The sequence below is a fragment of the Homo sapiens genome, chromosome 12 (genome assembly GCF_000001405.40).
Source record: "Homo sapiens chromosome 12, GRCh38.p14 Primary Assembly".
NCBI classification, from domain to species: Eukaryota; Metazoa; Chordata; class Mammalia; order Primates; family Hominidae; genus Homo; species Homo sapiens.
In genome coordinates this window covers 8,203,923-8,227,689 of record NC_000012.12, presented here as the reverse complement: position 1 = coordinate 8,227,689, position 23,767 = coordinate 8,203,923, and the positions used below count along the sequence as shown (strand labels likewise).

General features: G+C 44.5%; 1 protein-coding gene and 1 pseudogene across 7 annotated transcripts, besides 2 other annotated features; both read left to right on the top strand.

The window, feature by feature from the left end:
- Window positions 72–6,430, top strand: FAM90A1 (family with sequence similarity 90 member A1). 7 transcript variants are annotated; one of them, XM_047429059.1, is made up of 7 exons: window positions 72–210; window positions 1,212–1,396; window positions 1,698–1,854; window positions 2,802–2,980; window positions 3,475–3,674; window positions 4,133–4,241; window positions 4,906–6,430. In XM_047429059.1, the coding sequence occupies exons 4-7, from the start codon at window positions 2,858–2,860 to the stop codon at window positions 5,866–5,868; spliced, it is 1,395 nt and encodes a 464-aa protein (XP_047285015.1). In that variant the 5' UTR covers window positions 72–210; window positions 1,212–1,396; window positions 1,698–1,854; window positions 2,802–2,857; the 3' UTR covers window positions 5,869–6,430. The 7 variants fall into 7 exon arrangements, with proteins under 7 accessions (XP_047285015.1, XP_016875036.1, NP_060558.3 ...); XM_017019547.2 differs by having other exon boundaries at window positions 1,676–1,854; NM_018088.3 differs by having other exon boundaries at window positions 1,212–1,418.
- Window positions 461–510: an enhancer, noted in NCBI's record as "active region_5931". NCBI's record gives its function as "activates an Ori minimal core promoter by ATAC-STARR-seq in GM12878 lymphoblastoid cells {active_cell/tissue: GM12878}" and the evidence as "EXISTENCE:reporter gene assay evidence [ECO:0000049][PMID:35858748]".
- Window positions 3,230–4,429: an enhancer, noted in NCBI's record as "CDK7 strongly-dependent group 2 enhancer chr12:8375857-8377056 (GRCh37/hg19 assembly coordinates)". NCBI's record gives its function as "activates an origin of replication core promoter dependent on BRD2, BRD4, P300/CBP, MED14 and CDK7 cofactors, with strong dependence on CDK7, by STARR-seq in HCT116 cells {active_cell/tissue: HCT116}" and the evidence as "EXISTENCE:reporter gene assay evidence [ECO:0000049][PMID:35650434]".
- Window positions 8,779–23,767, top strand: part of DEFB109F (defensin beta 109F (pseudogene)) — a 19,313-nt pseudogene continuing 4,324 nt past the window's right edge.

The window sequence follows — 23,767 nt, the reverse complement described above, 5'->3', positions numbered from 1 at the left end:
TGCCACGTGGCCCCAGGCCCAAGACACTCCCCCTAGGAGGGATCCTTTTCCCAGAAGCTCCACCCCTCGGCAGCTCCAGTCAGGCCCCATCCGGGCCCTTCCAGAAGCAACCCAGGAGCCCCGAGACCTGCAGGGATGTGTGCACCCTGACCCCTGACGCATAGCCCTGCACCTGCAGCCAGCTGGCCTCGGGCTTGAAAACATGGCGGGGTAAGCACTGGCCTGGCACCCGACCGCCCACTGGGTGGACCCAGCCTTCTGTCTGTGTTGTGCGCAGGGGACACGAGGACTCCCGCTGCCCTGACACAGCCCCCAGATCACATGGCGCAGGTTCCAAGCCGCCCCTGCCCTGCCACAGCCCCCAGAGCACACGGCGCAGGTTCCAAACCACTCCTGGGAGCCTAGAGGCCAAAGGAGGGAGGAGAGCAGGACCAGCAGCTGGCCCAGACCCCGCCTCTTCCCACACCGCTTCTGCTTTTCCCCCTCCTCACTGAGTCATCTTGAAAGGGCTCAGCAGCAGTAACTGAGGGACAGGGGCTCTTCCGTTTGAAAAATTAAAAGAGGCTTGGTTAAGGCAACAATGACATGACCGGGCACAATGGCTCATATCAATAATTCCAGCATATTGGGAGGCCAAGGCAGGTGGATCACCTGAGGTCAGGAGTTCAAGACCAGCCTGGCCAACATGGTGAAACCCTGTTTCTACTAAAAATACCAAAATAAGCTGGGTGTAGTGGGCACCTGTAGTCCCAGCTACTCGGGAGGCTGAGGCATGAGAATTGCTTGACTGTGAGACGCGGAGGTTGCAGTGAGCTGAGATCACACCACTGCACCCCAGCCTGGGCGACAGAGACTGTGTCTCAAAAAAAAAAAAAAAAAAAAAAAAAGACATCAATGAAGAAACAAGAAAAAAAAAAAGATGCTTGGAAACTACTGAAAAATTAGAAAGCTTGGTATGTACAGATTCACATCTGGGCTCCCTGCCCTGCTGTGAAACCCTCTGAGCTTCAGTTTCCCACATGTAAAGCAGTATAAGACCCTATGGCAGAGAGCTGCAGTGGGGATTAAGGAGACAAGATCGTGGGAAGCACAAGGTAAAGGCGGCGTGCCCCTCCCTGGACTCCAATGCCTGGAGTCTCAAGACCAGCTGAAAAGGGAGCCAGGCACTGAAGGACAAAGCGGTGTTGACTTTCTTCATCTGTGTTTCCCAGTGCGCTCCAATTCACGGTGGTTTCCAAGCGCATTCTGGAGGAGAAAACACATGAGTGTGTGGTCAGGGTTCTCTGCTGACAGACCTACCGTGGGGAAGAAAGAGAAGCTCTGAAGATGGATCATGGCCGTGACTGCATGTCAAGGAGAATCTCCATGATGACACGGAGGCCTACGTCGAGATAGAGTAAATATGGTCCAATTAAAAGGTGTCTATTTTACCACATTTTTTAAAACAAAACAAAACACAAAAACAAAAAAGATGGAAAAGAAGACAGGGGTACAGGCACCAGTGTTACATATCTGACGGGGAACATCTATTCTTCAAAGCTTGCAGCTGTACACGTAGGTTTTAGAATGTCTGTCAGCAGTGGACATGATCTTAGAGTGGGCTGTGCAGATAGACCTTTCCGAGTCATGTAATTGGATTAAGTTAATTGTAATTAACCTACATGTAACTGATTAGGTTAGGGTACGTTCCACGTCAGGTGACCAGAGGCAGTATAAAAGGCAGCCTGGAAAGCAGAGGTCCCTCTCTGCCCCTTCCTCCGTCTTCCTGGATGCTGCATCGCTTCCAGCGGGGCTGCTCCAGCACCTGCCCATCTCAGCGCCAGCCGGGGAAAGAAAGTAGACGTGTAATTTCAGGTTAGTTTCACTGAACAGTTGTTTGTTTCACGCAATCCCTGAGGGGTGGGGGGGAAAAGAGACAAAGGAGGCCGAAAGAAAGCGATCACACTGGGGCTTGCTGATGCGGTAGGGTGTGCTCTCGTTACTAGTAATTCTTGGAACAGAAAACGAGAAAGCATTTCCGTCTCCATGTGTGGGATAAGACCAAGGTGGGAATGCGAAAAGAAATGTACTGCAGCATGCTGAATTGGTGGGTAAATGGAAAAAGGACTTTGGAAAAAAGGGTGGTTTGCCCTTCAGCCGTGTAAGACATTGATACGATATGGCACTTGTTCACCGTTCGTTTAGATGAATTCGTGTGGCATGCGTAAAATACCAGAAAAATAAATAAAGAGGGGCTGGAGCTAAAGCCAAAAAGATAGAACAGGAAAGACCATCACCTGCTAGTGTGGTAGAGAGGAAGATAACTTCTCTCTATGAATTTGTGTTTGGAAGTTGCCTAATGAAACGGCAAGAGTAGCGATTCAAGTTGTGACAGGAGGCATCCCTTATCCCAGATTTCAAACAGACCTGCCAAAGGGTGACACACGCCATGCCCTGTGGCTTCGATCATTCTGTCGGTCAAGGGAGATAGAGTCATCGTGTCTTCTACCGGAGTGAATCGTGATAGACCTAAGTCCAGTCTCCAGAATCAGTTGTTAGTTTGGGGTTGAAAGCTCAACTCCCCATACCTAGGCCACGGGCCCTGTGGCAGGCGAGGTTTACTCTTGGACTAGGTAATCATGGCAGAGGAACACACAATATCTGAGGATGCACACAGCACATTGTGTTCCACAGATTTGACCGACTGGTGGTGAGGTCTCCTCATGACCACACCGGCAAGGAATTAGCGGGGGGCTTCCTGTGGGTGTGTGAATATCCAATGTGCTTAACCATCGACTTGTGTGTGTTTGTGTGTGTTTCAGGTGACCCGACAATCAACCCCTGAAAAAGGCGGTCATAAAACCCCCAGGAGACGAAGATGATGGCACGTCGTGACCCCAAACCTGGGGCAAAGAGACTGGTGAGAGCCCAGACCCTCCAGAAGCAGCGGAGGGCCCCAGTTGGGCCAAGGGCTCCCCCGCCCGATGAAGAAGATCCCAGGGTAAGTCTAGCCCTGGATCTCTTGGGTATTGGGGTGGGGGTGGGGGCGGGGGGACGGGGTGTCACACGGTCCTCAGAGACTGGGTTGGATTCCAAAGAGTTCTGTCACCACCACCCAGGTTGCTTTTCCCATCCAAGGTGGGCGTGGCTTGGGACCTCCTCCCCGGCCCGATAGGCCCCTTGAGAGACTCTTGGGGGCAACCTCCCTTTCTACTTAGAGTCCTGTGTAGCCACGTTTGGCTGTGTTGTTGACATCGGGTTCACCATCGTGCCCCTTAGGACCTTGAGTCCTGCCTTTTAGAGTTCCTCCGTCACATGGGCTTTGGGAGGGAACATCGTATCCGAACTCTCCCAGCACTTAACGGCCCCCATGCCGGTGTCCCCTCTTTGGAATCCTTATTCAGCTCTGAATTCACAATCCGTCTCAATGTTGACGTGGGATCGGTGCCTGTGGCTTCAGCTCACTCACTGACATCACTTCCTTTCCACCCACAGCTCAAGTGCAAAAACTGTGAGGCCTTTGGCCACACGGCCAGAAGTACCAGGTGCCCCATGAAGTGCTGGAAGGCAGCCCTGGTTCCACCGAACTTTGGGGAAAAGGAAGGGAAGGAAAACCTGAAACCATGGAAGCCCCAGGTTGAAGCGAACCCTGGGCCCTTGAACAAGGATAAGGGAGAGAAGGAAGAGAGACCAAGGTGAGCAGTGGGAGTGGTTTTCACCACTCTTAGGGTACTGCCTCCTAAGGACATGGTGTCTCTGCACCTGCACACCGTGTGCCTTTCCGTCTCCGGGCCAGGGAAGGAACGCTGCAGAGAAACAGACCGGAGCTCTGTGTCTTCCGGAGTTCCACACCCAAGAGCTCCTTTGGCTCTGGGAGATTCAGGGACGGGGAGGGGCGGGGGCGCTTCGTGCAGGTTCCCCACGACAGGGGGAAAAGTGATGGAATCCAAATCACAGTCCTTAGTTGGGAAGCCTAGAGGGCCACCTGGAGGATGGGAAGGTTGGCACGTGAGGGAAGGTGCAGAGGCGGAAAGGGCACCAGATGTCCATTTCTGTATCACAAAACACGGAATGGGACTGGGCCCCAGACAGGGTTCTCCCCGTCTCCTGGGGAAAACCAGGGAGGACGGCCTGACCTTTTTCTGTTCTGCAGGCCACAAGACCCGCAGAGGAAGGCTCTCCTCCACATATTTTCCAGGAAACCTCCAGAGAAGCCGCTGCCAAATCAAAAAGGATCCACGGAATCTTCTGATTATCTGAGGGTGAGGGTCACCCTGGGCCCCTGGTCTTTTTCTCCTCTAGGTCACCCTGGTTGATTTCCTTTCAGCTTCCCGTCTGCGGGAGGGAATCGGGGAACCCCTCTTTCTTGCCTTCTTGGGGTCAGACACTCCACGATCCTTCCAGGTCAATTTGATTCCAGGCGAAGGCATCTGAAGATGCCGTATTTCCTGTTGCTTTCTTTCTGTCCAATTATGGCAAGCCTGCCAACAACACGTTCCTAGCGGCATGAGGAAATTAGTCCCTCAGAGGCCCCAAACGTGGAGAAGGCTAAACCCAGGAACATGCATATGTTCAGAGAAGACGTCCTGAGTACCCTTGAGCCACCAACCTGCCTTCGGAAGGGCATCAGTCGGTTCCACTTCATGGAAGGCTGAGTGGAGGCGCTTTGATCCAGCTAATGCCTAAGACGCAATCTTTTGAACAATGGTGTGCTTAGATCAGCTACACATAGCTCGAGAGCGCATCTTTCATGTGTCTTGTCCTGATCAGCACTCAGGTGGAGGGTCTGTCCCTACTTCCAAGGACCGCCTGTCGATAGTGTACTAAGAATTTCATGGCGTGTGCACCTTGTCTTTGGATGTGGTTGATTTTCATGTTGGCTCCATGCTGAGGAACTTCTAACCTGTGTTGTTTCCTCTCTTTCAGGTTGCAAGCGGGCCAATGCCGGTCCACACAACCAGTAAGAGGCCGCGTGTGGACCCTGTCCTCTCTGATCGCTCAGCTACCGAAATGTCTGACAGGGGCTCCGTCTTAGCTTCACTGTCTCCCCTCAGAAAAGCCAGTCTGAGCTCCTCCTCAAGTCTTGGACCAAAGGAAAGACAGACAGGGGCTGCGGCCGACATCCCTCAGACTGCAGTCAGGCACCAGGGCCCCGAGCCTCTCCTCGTGGTGAAGCCGACACACAGCAGCCCTGCGGGTGGCTGTCGAGAAGTTCCCCAGGCTGCCTCCAAAACCCACGGCCTGCTCCAGGCCGTCAGCCCCCAGGCACAAGACAAACGTCCTGCGGTGACCTCACAGCCCTGCCCACCAGCCGCCACACACAGCTTGGGCCTAGGCTCCAATCTCAGCTTCGGGCCAGGAGCCAAGAGATCTGCCCCGGCTCCGATTCAGGCTTGCCTGAACTTCCCCAAGAAACCGAGACTGGGTCCCTTCCAGATCCCCGAAAGCGCCATCCAGGGAGGTGAGCTGGGGGCCCCGGAGAATCTCCAACCTCCGCCAGCCGCAACCGAACTTGGACCACGTACGTCACCCCAGACAGGCACGAGGACACCCGCCCAGGTGCTTAGCGGCGACCGGCAGCCTCCGCACAGCAGACCTTGCCTGCCTACTGCCCAGGCCTGCACCATGTCCCATCACCCAGCGGCCAGCCATGATGGGGCCCAGCCTCTCAGAGTGCTCTTTCGGAGACTGGAAAACGGACGCTGGAGCTCCAGCCTGCTGACGGCCCCCTCATTTCACTCTCCTGAGAAGCCGGGAGCCTTCCTCGCTCAGAGCCCTCATGTCTCAGAGAAGTCTGAGGGTCCCTGTGTTCGTGTCCCACCAAGCGTCCTCTATGAGGACCTTCAGGTTCCCTCCTCCTCAGAGGACAGCGATTCTGACCTGGAGTGAGACTGCAGGTGGCAGGGGCTCCTTGGCCTCCAGCTCCCGTGACTTGGAGGGGACTGTGGGACTGAGGAGCACAGAGCAGAGAGCAGACTCTGTGCGGTGACTCCGAAGCTCCCCGGCTGTGGCCCTTCTGTGGATGTGGGAGCCCAGGCCAGGCAGGGAGCAGATGCAGGGACTCTGCCACGTTGAATTCTGGTGAGGGACATTGTAGTTCGCATGGTTCTCTGGAAACGCGCCAGGAAAAGCTTCCGTGCCAGTGATTCGTTGCCTCAGAAACTGCATGACGCGCAGGAGTCAGACTTCCGCTGGGACGTCAATAGGAAACGGGGGAATTACTGTGTATTTGCTCTCTAGACGACTGAATAAGGGAAAAGTTAGGGAACCCTGAGAGGTGCAGCCCTTCCGCTGTGCCCCGCCCTGAGAGCAGTGTTTCGGACGCTGGGAAGCGCGCTGTGCAAAGCGCTCTCGGGGTCTTTCCTCAGCCTCGAAAAGTGGGCTCTGGAATCCCTTTGTAAATAGGTGTGTTGAATTTGTTTTGAAGTGAATAAAATTCTCAAAAAGATGACATATTGTCTTTTGACTTTCATTCCGTGTTTGTGTTTAACTGATTTTCCAAGTGAAGGGGTGGCCTGCCCCTCCACACCTGTGGGTGTTTCTAGTCGGGTGGGATGAGAGACGGAGAAAAGAAATAAGACACAGAGACAAAGTATAGGGAAACAACACTGGGTCCAGGGGACCGGCACTCAGCACACCAAGGACCTGCACCGGCACCGGCCTCTGAGTTCCCTCAGTTTTTTTTATTATGATTTTCATTACTTCAGCAAAAAGGAATGTAGTAGGAGAGCAGGGTGATAAGAAGGAGAAGGTCAACAAAAAAAACATGTGAGCAAAAGAATCTATATCATAATTAAGTTCAAGGGAAGGTACTATGCCTGGACGTGCACGTAGGCCAGATTTATGTTTCTCTCCACCCAAATATCTCAGTGGAGTAAAGAATAACAAGGCAGCACTACTGCCAACATGTCTCGCCTCCCGCCACAGGGCAGCTTTTCTCCTAGCTCAGAGTTGAATAAATGTACGATCGGGTTTTACACCGAGACATTCAGTTCCCAGGGGCGAGCAGGAGACAGTGGCCTTCCTCCATCTCAACTGCAAGAGGCTTTCCTCTTTGACTAATCCACCTCAGCACAGACCCTTTACGGGTGTCAGGCTGGGGGACAGTCAGGTCTTTCTCATCCCATGAGGCCATATTTCAGACTATCACATGGGGAGAAACCTTGGACAATACCCTGCTTTCAAGGGCAGAGGTCCCTGCGGCTTTCCACGGTGCATTGTGCCCCTGGTTTATTGAGACTAGAGAATGGCAATGTCTTTTACCAAGTATACTGCTTGTAAACATGTGGTTAACAAGGCACGTCCTGCACGGCCCTAGATCCCTTAAACCTTGATTTTATACAACACAGGTTTTTGTGAGCTCCAAGTTGGGTCAAAGCGGCTGGGGCAAAGTGGCTGGGGCAAAGCTACAAATGAACAACATCTCAGCAAAGCAATTGTTTAAAGTACAGGTCTTTTTCAAAATGGAGTCTCATGTCTTCCCTTTCTACATAGACACAGTGACAGTCTGATCTCTCTTTCTTTTCCCTACATCCAAGGGCTTGAAAATTTCTTGACTTGTTCTCAATCCAAATCGTTATGTCTCTGAAACAGAGTTGACTGAGGGGACCGCAGGGCTGGGCAGGACCTTTGACTTCGTATACATCCACAGGAGCAAGAAAACCTCAGCCCCACTCTACCAACACACACCTAGTAAAATTCCGCCAACTGAATCTCACGCACGCTAACACGTGGGGAGCGTTGCTTGCACCACGAGTCCCCATTTGGCTCAACCGCCGATGCCAAGTGTGTGGTTCCAGTTGCGACGGCCCCCCGTGAAGTGGCTTCCGGATGTGCGAATGAACCAGGCAGAGTTTCACTGGCCAAATAGAGCCCAGCAAAGCTGAAGTTAACTCCCAGATTTGGGATGTACTTCAGAGGTAAAACATTCATCCCATCTTCTTTCCGGATGTCTGACACCGGGCCTTTCCATGGTTCTCCCCCTGATCCTAAGAGTAGCTGAGGTAGAGACTCACTGAAAGATCTAGGCAGGGATATCCCATCATGCCCAGGCTCTCTCCATTCTCTGACCTGGGAACAACTCTGAGCAGGATTCCACATCTAGGAGGCCTCGGAACTGAGCGCGATTTTCTGAGACACACCAAATGGCTGCTCCCTTTCCGCCGCTGTTGAGGGTCGTTATCCTGATTATCCAGATCACCTAGAAAGTATCCGTATCCAGAATCAATAAGATCAACTCTCTGCTCCTCTGACAGCAGAAGGAGCAGGACCACAAGGAACCAAAGAGCGTGGAAGGAAACGATGTGACAGGAAAGCTCAGAGAACGGCCACAGGGGGTCGTCAGCAGGCCTTCCAACCTGAATCATGAATAATTAATGAAGCGCAAATCAAAGGGGACTCGAGTTTCAGCCTGTGCAATTCATCCAACGGGAGATCGCCGGAGGGCCAACACGATTGAGAAACTGGGAGTCGGGTGCTGTGTCAAGTGGGACGCGACTGGTTCCAAAGCTCAAGAAGACCTTGGGTCACTTGGGCTACATGAGAAAACGCCCCAGTGTGCTGGTTCAGCATTCCGACTCCTGCCTGTCTCTTCCCGTCCAAGGAACACCGACCCTAACTCGTGCAGCTGCAGATGACCATGGGCAGAATTAGGGGACGTGGCACAAAAGTTCACCGACACGGGAGTTCCACAGAAGGTCCGGTGGATCTTCGCAAATCCAGAGACATGGCAATGGGACCCAGGGAATTAGAGCCTCACAGGCACCTGGGAGACTTTTCAGGCATAATGCCTAGAGTAGCAAGACGAGCTGAAAAAGGAGCCAGGCACTGAAGGACAAAGCGGTATTGACTTTCTTCATCTGTGTTTCCCAGTGCGGTCCAATTCACTGTGGTAGAATTCATGTATTTATTTTCCGTCGGCTTGTATTTGCAAACTTTTGATGTTATTGATTTTTGGTTGGAGAGTTTCGGTTTGAAAAAGTAGATATTCTGAAGATGGAGGTTGTCCAAGATTGTATCTCAAGGTGAGTCTACTTGATGCCAGCGAAGCATACTTTGACATATAATGCATATGTTTGAATTATATTTTGTCTTTTTTACCACATTTTAAAAAATCACTTCGTGAAAAATGTCAGAGTTAGATACACCAATGTTAAATTTCTCATCACATGTCCAGAGGCACTGTAAAATGCAGTCTAGAATGCAAAATTCCCAGCCACTTCTATGTGGAACTTTCTGCAGAGTGGGATTGTATCCAGCGTTTTCAGAGGGCGCAGGTGTGGTACGAGTTGGTCCTTGGCTTCCTGCTGAAGTTGGAATCCTGCAGATAGCGTAGGGGCGGTTTCAGCCTGTCCCTTCTTTCCAGGTCATCACTAACCTTTCCTGAGCCCCCATGGGGACTCAGAACTTATCTAGAGTCACAGGCCGGCCTGGGATGCTGCCCTTGAGCCTTTGTGCTGTCCATGATGGTTCCATGCCACTGATCTGCTGGGACACATTCTGCAGAGGGATGGGCTGGCAGGAGCTGTCCCTGCCTTTCTGAAAATCAGGGAGATTTCTGGTGTCTGAAGCCACATAGAAATATCTGTGGAGTCTCAGGTAGGCCAGGGATGCCATTCACAGGCTCCTATTCTTCCTCTTAATGGCAGCAAGAGTGATTTCTGAGTTTCCTAATTGACTTCGAAATAATTTTGTTGATTTTGTTGTGACAAAGACCACTCCTCTTTCTGTGGCATCCAGTTCACCTTTAGGGTTTTTTGGGATTATGTGGAAACTCTTGCATTTTTCCAGAGCCTCACTTCATCGTGGATGTTCTCAGGAATGCACGAGCTGATCCCTGCCTTGGTGGCATCTTGAAACATTGAGGGAGGCCCCTTAGGTCCAGGAGGCACTAGGAGGTCCATCAGGAATTGAGAGGGCATGTGTCTGCCCATCTGTAGCTGGAACTTCTATTTGCCTTCAGAATGCAGATTCTTCCTGAACTAATAAATTATCTTCATCTTGGTGTAAGTAGCCACAATATAATAATTCATAGTAACTCTATTAATAAATATAACTGAACATCAACAATGAAGATAATAATGACAATGTTAATTATTATAATATTAATAGTAAAAATAAAACAATGGCATTAGAGATTAGAGATTCCCCTAAGTGAAGGACAATGTACAGATATAGGGACACGTGAGTTGTTTGGACTCAGAGTCCAATGAAACGTGTTCCTCAAAGGCAAAGGACAAGCAGCATAAGGAAAACACAAAGTTCATGGATGACCACATGGGCTACCTTGGAACTCATGTGGAAACACTGCAGGCAAAGTGTACCTGGTACTGGGACTGCCCACCAGCCAGCCCCCACCCACCTTCATGAGGTAGGACAGCAGGATAATGGGGAAGGGGTCCATGCAAGGGATGCAAGGCTCGTGTCACACCTGATTCAAAGAAGCACTGCTTCTGACAGATGTTTATCTCCTAACACTGTGTCACCTCTAACTGCCTGGCTCCATGTCTGCCATCTGTTCTTCTTAGGTCACAGGAGGGACAGACATTACTGTCCACCTATCTGCATACAGAGCCATTGGAGGCCATTACCCTTGTTGCTTCCTCTTTGGAAAGGGGCAACATACATGGCAGATGCCATTCTCTGTCTCTTTGGAAAACTTTGTCAGCACATTTAAGGTTTTCTTCAGCCACAGAAAGCCACCTGCTTCGAAGTCTCATCCTCCACAAGTGGCAAGCACACAATCATTAATGGAGGCAAGGGGTACATAGGCTTTGCCATTTGATTCAGTTGGGACAAATAGGAGAGGACTTCTTAGCTCTACAGCTCTGTCCGTATGGCCAGGTGACAATGTCAGGCTGCACTGCCATTAGACTTGTCCCTTTGCACATAAGGCTTCCCTCCAATCCTTTCCACAGATGTGGATCCTGACATCACTTCCTAATAAACATCGTGCACACTAAACTTCATCTATATCCAGTTCCCTGGGAACCAAACCTGTGACAAAAGTGAAAAGTTTCTAGGGAAAATAGGGTTTCCTTATCAGACAGGAATCAAATTCTGCTGAGCTAGAAAATAAAGTCAAGTCTGATGCCTCTCATGATTTTTTTTATTAGGACATTACCACTGCCAGCAAGAATTGTGTGCATCAATTTGTGGGGACAAACATCATATTGGAGTGGGATGAGGTTGTTGTGGGTTGAGGAGAAATGCTGATGAATGGACTTTACCCTCAACTTGGATTCCGGAGAGGACACAAAAACAGCTGGAAATAAAAGGTGTCCGAAAACATTTTTCTGGTTTTTCAAAACTTCAAATTTCAGGTTGGGAGACACTGTATGTTTAAATTCTAAAGGGATGTAGCATACTGAGAAGAAATAACTATAGACGAAGTGTCCATTTTATGAATAATACAATTTATGGTATGACAGGAGACCAAGGGACATAACACAATTTTGGAGTTAAAGAAATTAACAGACATTCTCGATAATTCCTCAGCTATTATGGCAGAGATGCTGGGACAATGGATGTCCATGTAGCAGTACTTTTTTTTTTTTTTTTCTGGGAGACGGAGTCTCACTCTGTAACCAGGCTGCGCTGCAATGGCGCAATCTCGACTCACTGCAACCTCTGCCTCCCGGGTTCAAGCAATCCTCCTGCCTCAGCCTCCCAAGTAGCTGGGACTACAGGCACATACTACCACACTCAGCTAATTTTTGTACTTTTAGTACAGATGGGATTTCACCATGTTGGCTAGGATGGTCTCAGTTTCCTGATCTCGTGATCTGCTTGCTTTGACCTCCCAAAGGGTTGGGATTACAGGTGTGAGCCACCATGCCTGGCCCTTGTGGCAGTACTTTTGAACTTAATGGCTGAAAGCATCCACCTCCAAACTTACGTATTATATCTGCAAAGGAGTACAAACCATGTGATAAATTTTAAAGGGAAGACAAGCCTGTGGGAATTCAACAGCCCTGGCAATGTTTTGAACTTCTTTTTATTAAACATGTAAGAAGTAAGTGAAGTTCAAGACCTAACAGAATTGCCAGGAATTATCTGAGGAATTACCAAGATGACCATAGACACTATGAAATCGTTATGATGTCCTCTGCTGGAGTTTCCTCCTACAGCCAGCGATTTTAAGCAAGAAGCAAATGTCTCTGCAGGCATAAAAATTCAACCCAAATGTACTATTCAATTTTAAATGAGATGACAATAAAATTATGTGCTATATAGCAACAACATTTTTTTTCTTTCAGACAGAGTCTTTCTCTGTTGCCTAGGCTGGAGTGCAGTGGGACACTCTTGGCTCACTGCAATCTCTGCCTCCTGTGTTCAAGTGATTTTCCCACCTTTTTCACAATGTATCCTTATCCTCAAACTCATCCTCCTAAGTAGCTGGGATTATAGGCCTGTGCCACCATGTCTGGCTGATTTTTGTGTCAGCAAAATTATTTCTGGGGCGGAGAGTTAGGAATCTTTTTTCTCCCACGCCCAAAAACATGTTCTCCAAATGATCTGTCAATAGAAATAACTGATACCTATATTTGCTAACCTACCTTTTTCTTTCTTTAAATTCAGAACTAGAGTGGGGAAAAGTGATATTAAGAAGGTTCTCTTAATTTTCAACACAAGTTATGGGCTAGGCGCTGTGCTAGGTGCTACAGATACGCACTAATATACCCACAATAGTTTTGCCTTATTGCCTTCTATGTTCTAATAATGCACCAAAAGAAAAGTATAGATTAGCTTTTTATTTTTTTGAGATGGAGGTTAATTCTGTCACCCAGGATGGAATGCAGAGGCGGGATCTTGGCTCACTGCACCTTCTGCCTCCTGGGTTCAAGTGATTCTCCTGCCTCAGCCTCCTGAGTAGCTGGGATTACAGGCACGTGCCACCACACCCAGAAAATTTTTGTATTTTTCGGAAAGACAGCTTTCATCATGTTGGTCAGGCAGGTCTCAAACCCCTGGCCTCAAGTGATCCACCTATCTTGGCCTTCCAAACTGCTGGGATTACAGTCATGAGCCATAGTGCCCAGCCAAAGAGAGTAGCTTTAAATAGAAAATATGAAACTAAAAGAAACGTATGCTCATCAATTTTATACTGTATTTGGCCAGGTGCAGAAGATCGACTTGTAGTAATGTAAGGGAATAAGGTCAATTCACATCTAATTGTTTGGACAAGTCACCAGAAATCAAAAGTTGGAGGAGTTGTATCTTTTGAGGTGGGTTGCACAGGCAAGCAGCAAGTTGCTATCTCTCCAAAGTCCTAAACTGTTCTATTTGTCCTACTGTGGAAAAATGAGTCTTCAACTTGATTTCAATTTATATAGGAAAATGCTCAATAAAACTAATAAGGGCTACATTCCAGGACACAGCCAGACCACACATATACTGAACCTTGATTCTAGAGACACCTCCTGTTCAATGTAATTGGATTTTCAAGACAACAAAAATATAACTCTGACACAATATTGGAGAGCCAAAAGGAAAGGACATTTTGGGTTGAAATTTTTTCTTTTAAAAATGTGTCCTTGAGTTCTATTAACAATAGCTGAAGCCTGGGAACAGCTCAAATGTCTATTGAGAGGAAATTGATAAATTATATGCATATTATAGAGTAATATTTATCAATAAATGGGAATAATCAACTCTACGAATCGACATCATGATCATGGATCAATATAATCTTTCTAACCCCGAGAGAGGAAAGCTAAGCTAAAAAGTGTCCTATAATATAAATAAATGTATACAAAATTCTAGAACAGACAAACCTAATATAAGCTAAAAAAGTTCAGAAAAGCCAGGTGCAGTGGCTCATGCCTGTTATGTCAGCACTTTGTGAGGTGGGTGGATCGCATGAACTCAGGAGTTCAAGACCAGCCTGGCCAACATGCTGAAGCTACCCCATCTTTACCAAAAATACAAAAATTAGCCCAGTGTGGTGTGGTATGCAGGAACAGAAAACCAAATACTACATATTCTCATGTATAAGTGAGAGCTAAACATTGGGTTATACACTGTTTAGCTCTCACTTATATGGAAACAACAGACACTGGAGATTCTTAGAGGGAGGAGGGAGGGTTGGGTGCAAGGCCTGAAAAACTACCTATTGGGTATTATGTTCACTACGTGTGTGATGAGATCATTCATACTCTAAACCTCAGCAGCACACAATACATCCATGTAACAAACCTGCACATGTATCCTCTGTGTCTAAAATAAAAATTAAAAACGTAAAAAATGAACAAAGATATATGAGCAGGCATTTCTCGAAAAAGGAGATACAAATGGACAACATATATATAAACAATTCTTACCCTCTCTAGTCATCACGGGAATGCAAATGAAAACTACCAAGAAATATCACCTCACACCTGTTAGAATAGCTATTATCAAAAAGATGGATGATAACAAGTGGCGGTAAGGATGTGGAGAAAAGGGAACCTTTGTATACTGGTGGTGGGAATGTAAATTAGTACGGCCACCTTGGAAAATAGTATGGAGGTTTCTCAAAAAATTAACAATAAAAATACCATTTTGTTCCAGCAATCCCACTTATTTTATATATAATATATATATCCATATATATATATGTAAATATATATATATGAAGTCATTGAAATCAGTATGTGAAAGAGATATCTGCGCTCCTATGTTCCTTTCAGTACTGTTCACAATAGTCAAGATCTATGAAGAAGTCATACATGTTATCATTCATTCATGGACGGCTGAATTAATGTTATATATATATATGCACAATGGAATATTATTCAGTATTATATAATAATGAAACCCTGTCATTTGTGACAACATTGATGGATCTGAAGGGCATGAAGTCATGTGAAATAAACCAAACACAGAATGACAAATACTGTATGATTTCACTTGTATTTGAAATCTCAAAAAAAAACTCAGAAGCAGAGGGTAGACTGGCCAGGAGCTGTGGTGCAGGTAAGTGTGTAGGTGTGATTATAGTACAAAGTTTTAGATATACCACATAAATAAGTTCAGGAGGTCTAATTTACAGCATAGTGCTTATAGCTATGAATACTGTATTGCATACTTAAAATATAATAGGAGGGTGAATTTTATGTTAATTATTCTTACCAATAAAAATAATAATTAGAATGGGAGGGAGAACTTTGGGAGGTGATGAATATGTTTATAATCTTGATGGCAGTGATGCTTTCACAATGTACCCTTATTCTCAAACTCACTGAGATATACACATTAAATAGGTACAGCTTTTTGAATGTAATCATGTCTCAACAAAGTGTTTTTAAGGGGGGTTGGTTAAAAAATTTAAAAAGGAAGGGTAGATGTTCCTTTGCCCTTCTCTCATGCCTTTTTTCTCCCTGCTGTCTAGAATTCAGAAATAATAGGTGGGAATTTATCAGCCAAACTAGGACCTTTTCTAAAGTATAGCAGAGCAGAGAGCTGGAAGGGACCTGCATCCCTAATGATATTAGAAAGTATCTGTACTAGCCCTGAATGGTATAACTACAGGTTAATTTTAAGTGAAAAAGAAATCAACTTCTGCCTTGTTTAATCAAACTTATTCAGGCATTAATTTTATAAACATGTAGAGAATACATACTCCTTATGAGCAGAAACAATGTTTATGCCATATGGTCCATGATGGGTGTTCAATAATGTGTGATGATAATAATGAAGACAATAGTGATAAATAAAAGAAAATAAAAAGCAGTGAAACAAAGTGGTTTAATAGCTATACATAGTTATTTTGTTGAAAGATTCTGCTGCTAATATTTCTCAATATTTTTGTATGCTGGTACAAGTAAGGAAATTTACATTGTCTAATAAAAATTATTTATCAATTTATGAAACAGTAAAAATTTCATAGAATGGGGCTAAGAATCTGCATTGCAAACTAACTCTTTCAGTTGATTTTATGCACAGTAATTATTGAGAATCCCCTTATCTAGGTCCAACGGATCTGGACCTACATAGGTGCTATCAAGACTTAAGGAAGAAAATTTTCCTGACTCTATCCATACCTCCAGTTAGTAATAGATCTAGAGATTTAGAACTGAAATCCAGACCTCCTGCTTCCATGTGCAGTGACTTTTCACTGTCCTGTTTTGCTTCACTTGATGAAGAGGATTTGAGAATAAATGACCACATGATTCAACTCCTCCTCAGCTCTGAGGAATATAGCCCTGTCCTGGCAAACAAGAAGCTCCTTCAGTAGTAGAGGAGGCAAATATACGTTCACTAATCTAACATACAAGGCAGTAGGCACTGTACCATAAACAAGGCACTGTGGGGGTTCAGACCAGGGGCAAAGTGGGGATTAATAGGGCTAGTAAAATCTGGGAAGTGTTCACTAACAAAATGTCTAATCATTAACTAAACTAAAAGGTTTCTCAACATGGCCTAATTAATTGTAACTTAATATAAATGGTTGTTTGTCCATAAACCTTAATCTTTTGCCAAAATATTTGTAGCTTATGTTCCCATTTAACAAGGTTTTCTGGTCAAAACTGTGCACCCACATCATTCTAATGAACTTAGTGTCCAATAAAACATGGACTCTCAGTCGTCCCATGAAGGTTATTTTGTGTGCACAGTACATCTCTGTGAATATGCCTAATGAGGTATGGAAGGACACTTATTATCCAAACAGAGACATTCCACTGGTGCTAGAGAGTCACAGACGGAAGTTTTCTCTGCCTACTGGAAATAAAGCCAAGCTTTCTTCTTTCCTCAGCCGTGAGGATTGCTGTCCTCCTCTTTATCATTCTCTCTTTTTTTTTTTTTTATGAGCCAAGCTCCACCAAATAACAAGATAAACTTTGTGTAAGACTTGGTAAGAGTAGAGTGTCTGACACCTTATGGTGCTATAACACTCAAAGCAAAAGCAAAATCGCCTATGACCAGAAAAGGGAGTCACATAGGAAATCTAGAAGACCTATTGGCTGAGAGACCTGCAGCCTCATAGTTCATTAGCTCTCCATAGCAACTCTCACATGAAATGAAGTCAGTGGTGTTTCAAGTGCTTGAAACCCTCTTTACTCTACTTCTAAATGTGAATTAATTAGGCAAGTTTACTAGCAGTTACTAGACCTCAAAAGCAAAATAATCAGGCATTATTCTACTAAATATTGGTCTCCATAACTCCTCTATTTTCTTTTGGAAAAGTTAGTTAGTCTAAGACATTTGGCATAAAGGCTATGCCAAAGCTTTGGTGGGGTCAGCCAGGAAGGATTCGTGGGGGTCTCCTTGGAAATATTGCAATAATCTAAGAAATCTTCAACCTATTGCCCCTCAGTACTGTTGGTCCCCTGTACTGGACTTTTCCCCTTAAGTTTGATTCCATTTCCTAACATTATCCTTCCCTCTTCCTCCTCAGCAACTAGTCTTCTAAATTAGAACTTAAACACAATGACCAGATATGACCCTGCAACAGAGCATGCCCTTCTGCATTGAGCATGCAATCATGTATCACAGGTATAAGACCCCTTGAACAGACATGGTTTTGGTGATTCTGTGTAGGACTTATTGCTTTTACCCAAGAAGATGATCAGGCATCCTAAGTAGATCAGAAAGTTTTCTGGAGCTCTTGAATGTGTATAGGCAAGAAAGATTAAGCAACCTGTTGCCTTATATGAGGCAAACTATCTTCTCATATTTTCTTTTGAATTCAGGATTTCAAGGTTGGGGAAGGAAGGCCGGGCGCGGTGGCTCACGCCTGTAATCCCAGCACTTTGGGAGGCCGAGGCGGGCGGATCACGAGGTCAGGAGATCGAGACCATCCCGGCTAAAACGGTGAAACCCCGTCTCTACTAAAAATACAAAAAATTAGCCGGGCGTAGTGGCGGGCGCCTGTAGTCCCAGCTACTCGGGAGGCTGAGGCAGGAGAATGGCGTGAACCCGGGAGGCGGAGCTTGCAGTGAGCCGAGATCCCGCCACTGCACTCCAGCCTGGGCGACAGAGCGAGACTCCGTCTCAAAAAAAAAAAAAAAAAAAAAAAAAGGTTGGGGAAGGAGTGGGAAAGTAGCCATGGACATGTGAGAATGTGGATGATCCTTGTACATTGTAAGGGATGGTCAAATTCTATGCTTTATGTTGTTTGCTAAAAGACACTTTCCAAAGTTTTCAACAGAAAATATGGTGGCACACATGCCTATTCTTGGTGAACCCAGACTTTTCTATCTAGTCTGTAATAGTAAATTTAAAAGGACGGCTTAGGGTAAATGAATCCTTCAAGTTATAAAGATGAAGGGCAGTTTTTGGGCAATTCCCATTTTGCTGTAGGAAAACTAATCTGGAAGAAGTAAAAGGGAGAGATTGAAGTGGAGAGAACGGAGATGGAAAATGAGTTCAGTTGATCAAATTTTTGTTAAGCGCCCACTGTATGTGGGGCCCTTACAAGGAAACAAGCAGACAAAGAACAAAAGCATGTGATGGCCTTGCTCTTAAGAAGCCCGAGGCCAGTCACCTGGATTGCTACATACCAGGAAGACGTCAACAAGCCCCTACAATACAGCACTGGCATAGGATGAAGAAGAGGTTTCTTTCTATGACATAAATAGCACACAACCAAAAAAGAAAGCCAAAAGATACACAAGGCTCGAAAACCTAAGGCACCAACCCTTAAGAGATCTGATTGTTGGTGGTGACTTTGAAAGGAAAATTATTATTAGGATTATTTTAGTACTAAGAGTTTTGAGCTGTCTATCCAAGATTGTCATCTGCACCTCTGCCTTAGGTAATACTGGGTGTGTGTGTGTGTGTGTGTGCGCACGTGTGTGTGCCTTTGCATGTGTTTGAAATATATTCTGTATCCCACATTCCACATAGGTTTGGGGCTGATCTGAAACTATACTCTTAGGGATGGGGTTAAGCTACTCTATCACATTGCGAAGAGTTGATATGTAAGAGACTCTTAACCTTTTATAAATTACCTTTAAAATGTTTCCTTTTCTGTGAAGGGAAGAATAAGAATTTGTAAACAAATGCAAAAATATCTTTAACTAAACAAAAGAACAGTTCGTTAGCCTTGTTATGATTAGCAGAGAGGATAGCTGCAGACACTGTAAAATCACTCAGCAACAAGATTTGACAAAACCTTAAATATGGCTCTATTTTTCCTGTTTTATAGAGGAAAATATTAAGGCTCTGGGAACTGAAGTGCTTTTCCCAACAGTGGAGTAAATGTCAGAGTCAAGGCTGGGTTTTACATCCCAGCTTTCCCTATACATTCCACCCTATGGTTCTGTTGTGCTGTTCCTTTGTGTGACTCCGTAAAGCCTGGTTAAATGTGATACCATATCAAATTGTGTTAACTCAGTAGCACATAACACCAGGGAATTGATTTATAAGATTTTTATCCTGGTGGTGTTGCTGAAGACCCATCTGATGAGTAGTTATCAAGTAGTCATCCCGGCTAAATATATGCGTTTGATTTTTAATTTTGAAAATGAAAAATATTTTAAAATATATGTCTTACATCCATATCCCAGGAAATTCTAATCAAGTTTTAAAACTTCCAAATTTAGATAAACTAAAGGTTTTTTGTTTTAATTTTCTTTCAATGAAAATAGAAGAAACTAATTGGATAGAACAGCACAGCAGAAGCATTACTTATAGCCAAAAATGGGATACAACAAGACTGAAGAAGAAAATGCAAGACAGTGCTTAAAAAAGCAGTCTAATGAAAAGTGAGGTCTCCTCTGATGTCCTTAGGTAGACATTGCAGCAGAACTGTAAAGTTTTTCTGGAAGGCTGGGGAAGAGAGGAGGAAACAGAGAAGGGGCAAGAGGAGAAAATAGAATGAGGCTCAGAATACCAAGCCTTAGTGCTGTCCCTATCGCCTTCCTCGCTAGATCACTGGGTGATCCTGGGCAAGTTTCTTCCTTTCCCTCAGCTCATTTCCTCATCTGTAACGTAAGTGACTAGACAAGATAGCCTATGATGTTCATTGTAACTCTAACTTTTCTTCCCAAAGCAAATAGCTGGAAAAGACACTGTGCTTACAATATGCAACAAATAAAAACAAAAGATTTTTAAAAACCCCTAGTGTAACTTGAATTCTTACAAATAAGCAATGGTACATCATAATTTTACAAAGCCCTTTTGTGATTTCGTTTTTAAAATCACGTCAAGTTTTATTTTACTTCATAATAAGATAATGGGAGATAAGTGTTAAATGGGTTCATAAAAGAATGTTTGTAAAAGACACAATAATCCAAAATAGGTAATTGTTATATTAGTAGTTCCCTTTACTGGGGGGGAACAGATAAAAAAGTGTTAGGAAAAGCTTCATAAAGTGGATTATATAGAATGTGCTTTAAAAGAGTTTAGTGTTTTATTGAGTGGGGAAAGAGCAATATGGGGAGTTATTGTTCAAGGGTTAAAGCTATACAAAATGAGTCAATTACAGAGATAGGCTCCAAAACATAGTACCTATAGTTAACAATGAGGTACTTTGTATTTAACAATTTGTTAAGAGGGTCGATCTTAGGGGTTCTGACAACAACAACAACAACAACAAAGGGACGTAGGAAACATTTGGAGGTGATGGATATATTATTACCTGGATATTGGTGTGGTAACAAGATAATATATATGTGCAAACTTGCCAAACTATATCCATTAATTATGTACTGTTTGTGTATAACAGTTTTACTTCAGTTCCTACTATATTGCCTGGCAAACAATAGATGTATAAAGTGAGATCAATGATTATTGCATGTGCATGTCAAAAATAATAAAGAAAGCAGGTGACAATAAAGACATCCTGAATCTTTGGGAAATAAATAGCATTCACCTGCTTTCTCATCCATTGAGATATCACCACATTTATGTACTTGTGTGTCCCTGGAAGTTTCCTGTGGGAGATTTAGTTATTCTCTTTTCGTTAGGCTCTACTGACCAAGAACAAATCACAGACTCAGAGAGCATCATAAAAAGGCCCAGACCCACAATGCCCAGAGAATCCAGGCTCAACCCACATTGATGCTGGCCCTTCAGCCGTGAGACTCCATGTGCTTCTCCTTATTCTCCTTCTTTTTTCAATTCTCTTATCCCCAGGTAAGTTGGTAGCTGATTACTATAAGGTTCTGCAGATGAGAAGGCTATATCCCTGGCCAGACAAGATCCTAGAATCAGTCCTGTGGGTTCAAGAACCTAATATTTACAGCTTCACTAGGATTATAATAGGGAAAAATAGAAAAGAGACTCATTTAGCAGTAGCTCCTGTTGATAAGATTCCATCCATGTCTTTTGACCTAGTGAGTGGATATAATAATGGATGCTGCTGAAATTCAATCCTGTCAGATGAAACTGCCTGCATATAAATTTCCATGCCCCACCAAGCATCTCAAGATACAAAGTAAGGATACAACAGAACATGACCTCAATGAGATGCCTTTGCGGGACATGGAAATTTATATGTAGGCAGTTAGATCTGACAGGATTGAATTTCTATGGCATCTATTGTTATATTCACTTACTAGGTCAAAAGAGATGGATGGAATCCTATCAATAGGAGCTACTGCTAAATGAGTGTTGACAAATCTGAAAGTTTTATTCTAAGAGACAAACGGAAAAATTATAATCCTAGAATAAGTGAAAATTATATGAGAGACTTTTCAAAATAAATTATGTTTTATATGGTTATGAATAAAAAATGATTTGCAAAGTGAAACTGAGGACCAGAAAGCAGAGTTAAAGGAACTTCAGACAAGTGAATTAATAAGGAGCAAAGACACCAAGAAGTGCTGCTCACGGTATATTACAGGTAACCACACAGAAATGGGTAACATTACTTTCAATACAAAAATGGCTAAAATTTAATGGGCTAAGCACGCATTTTGGGGGCTTTTGGAAAAAAAACAGCATAATAACCCTAAAGAAGATAAAGGGAAAATTATAAATACAAAATATAAATTAATGAAACAAATGAGAAAAAACTAGTATTTTTAAAAATGTTTTTCAAAAAGTCTAATACACTTTATAATAATCTGGCAACACTGAACAAGAGAAAATGAGAACATGCTTAAAATAACTATTGCAGGAATGAAAGGTTAATATCAAAACAGATGTTTCAGAGATTCAAATAATTTTTAAATTTGTGTATTATATTCCCTCTTTGCTGTGTACTTGGGGATTTTCCTGTTGCAGTTCACTATATCACGACTATGTCATCAATTTTGATGCTAGTAAATTATTACCATCAGCATACAAATATGCTGTTGTTTTTCTGATCTAAGAAAAAGAATGTCCTTGCTTTTCTTCTGATGCCAGCTGTCATCCCATTTTTTGCTCTACTTTTCAGCAAAACATCTTAAAATAGTTGTCCATACTCTCTTTCTTCAATTCGTCTCCTCTCATTGTTTCTTAAATATATCCCAATCAGGCTCTCTCCCCCTTTTTCGATCATGATATTGACACCACTTTTGTCAAAGTTACCAATAATCTCCACATTGCTAGATCCAATGATCATTTTTCACTATAACTTTAATTGGCCTATTAGCAGCATTTGACACAAATAATCACTACCTTCTTCACAGTATAATTTCTTCACTTGGCTTCCAGGATGGCACATTCACTTGATTCTCAGCCTGTCTCACTGGAGCTACCACTTCGGCTTCCTTTGTTTCTTCCTCATCTTTTGCATGACACCTCCTATAGGAGAGCTCCAGAGCTCAGTTCCTGGTCCTCTTCTCTTCTCCCTCACCACACACTCTTTGGAGGGGCTCAGCAAGTCTCATCCCTTTCAATTCTCCTTTTGGACCTCCTTTTGAACTCCAGGCTTATAATAAATTATCTAACGGCATAACTGATATATCTACTTGGACACTTGATTTCAAAAGTAATATATATCCAAAACTGAACTCACGATTTTCCCTCAGAAACCTCTACATACAGATTTTCTCTTCTTGCAGAGTGCCATGGTCAGCATTGGAGCCTCTCTTAGCTTTCCTGTCCACTTTCATCTTCAGCAAGCCTCTATCTCTGCACCTCAAGAATCTCTCAGGGCTCCCATCCCTTGCCCAACCACGGGCAGTAGCTGCCTCACACTCAGTGAAAGACCAGAAAATCTACTTCTCTCAGCTACCTGCCCTCCCCTGCCTTCAGACCTCATCAGGCCTCTCTTCTTATGCACCTGTGAGAAAAGAGAGTGAAGGGGGGATTCTCTCAGCTCCCCAACCCACTCCCCAGTAACAGAGGATTTTCCCCGATTCTCACAGTGCGACCTTTACCTTTCTCCAACCTCAAATTGCAGCAGTTCCTACATGCCTGTCCCTCAAAAGTGTCGCAGGAAGTTCTCCTGCTCTCCATCTGATTTTACCTAGGAGCACACAAGATAGGTCATGAAAAAACCATTAGTGGGATCACACCTGTAATCCCAGCACTTTGGGAGGCCAAGGCACTGTAATCCCAGCACTTTGGGAGGCCGAGGCACTGTAATCCCAGCACTTTGGGATCATGAAGTCAGTGGCCAACACGGTGAAACCCTGTCTCTACTAATACAAAAAATTAGCAGGGTGTGGTGGCACGTGCCTGTAGTTCCAGCTACTTGGGAGGCTGAGGCAGGACAATCGCTTGAACCCTGGAGGCGGAGGTGGTAGTGAGCCGAGATCATGCCATTGCACTCTAGCCTGGGTGACAGAGTGAGACTCTGTCAAAAAAAAAAAAAAAGGAAGAAAAGAGAGAAAGAAAGAAAGAAAGAAAGAAAGAGAAAGAGAAAGAAAGAAAGAAAAGAAAAGCATTAAAGCATTAGTGAGTGAGTGAGTGTGTTTGGGCCCCTACAGAT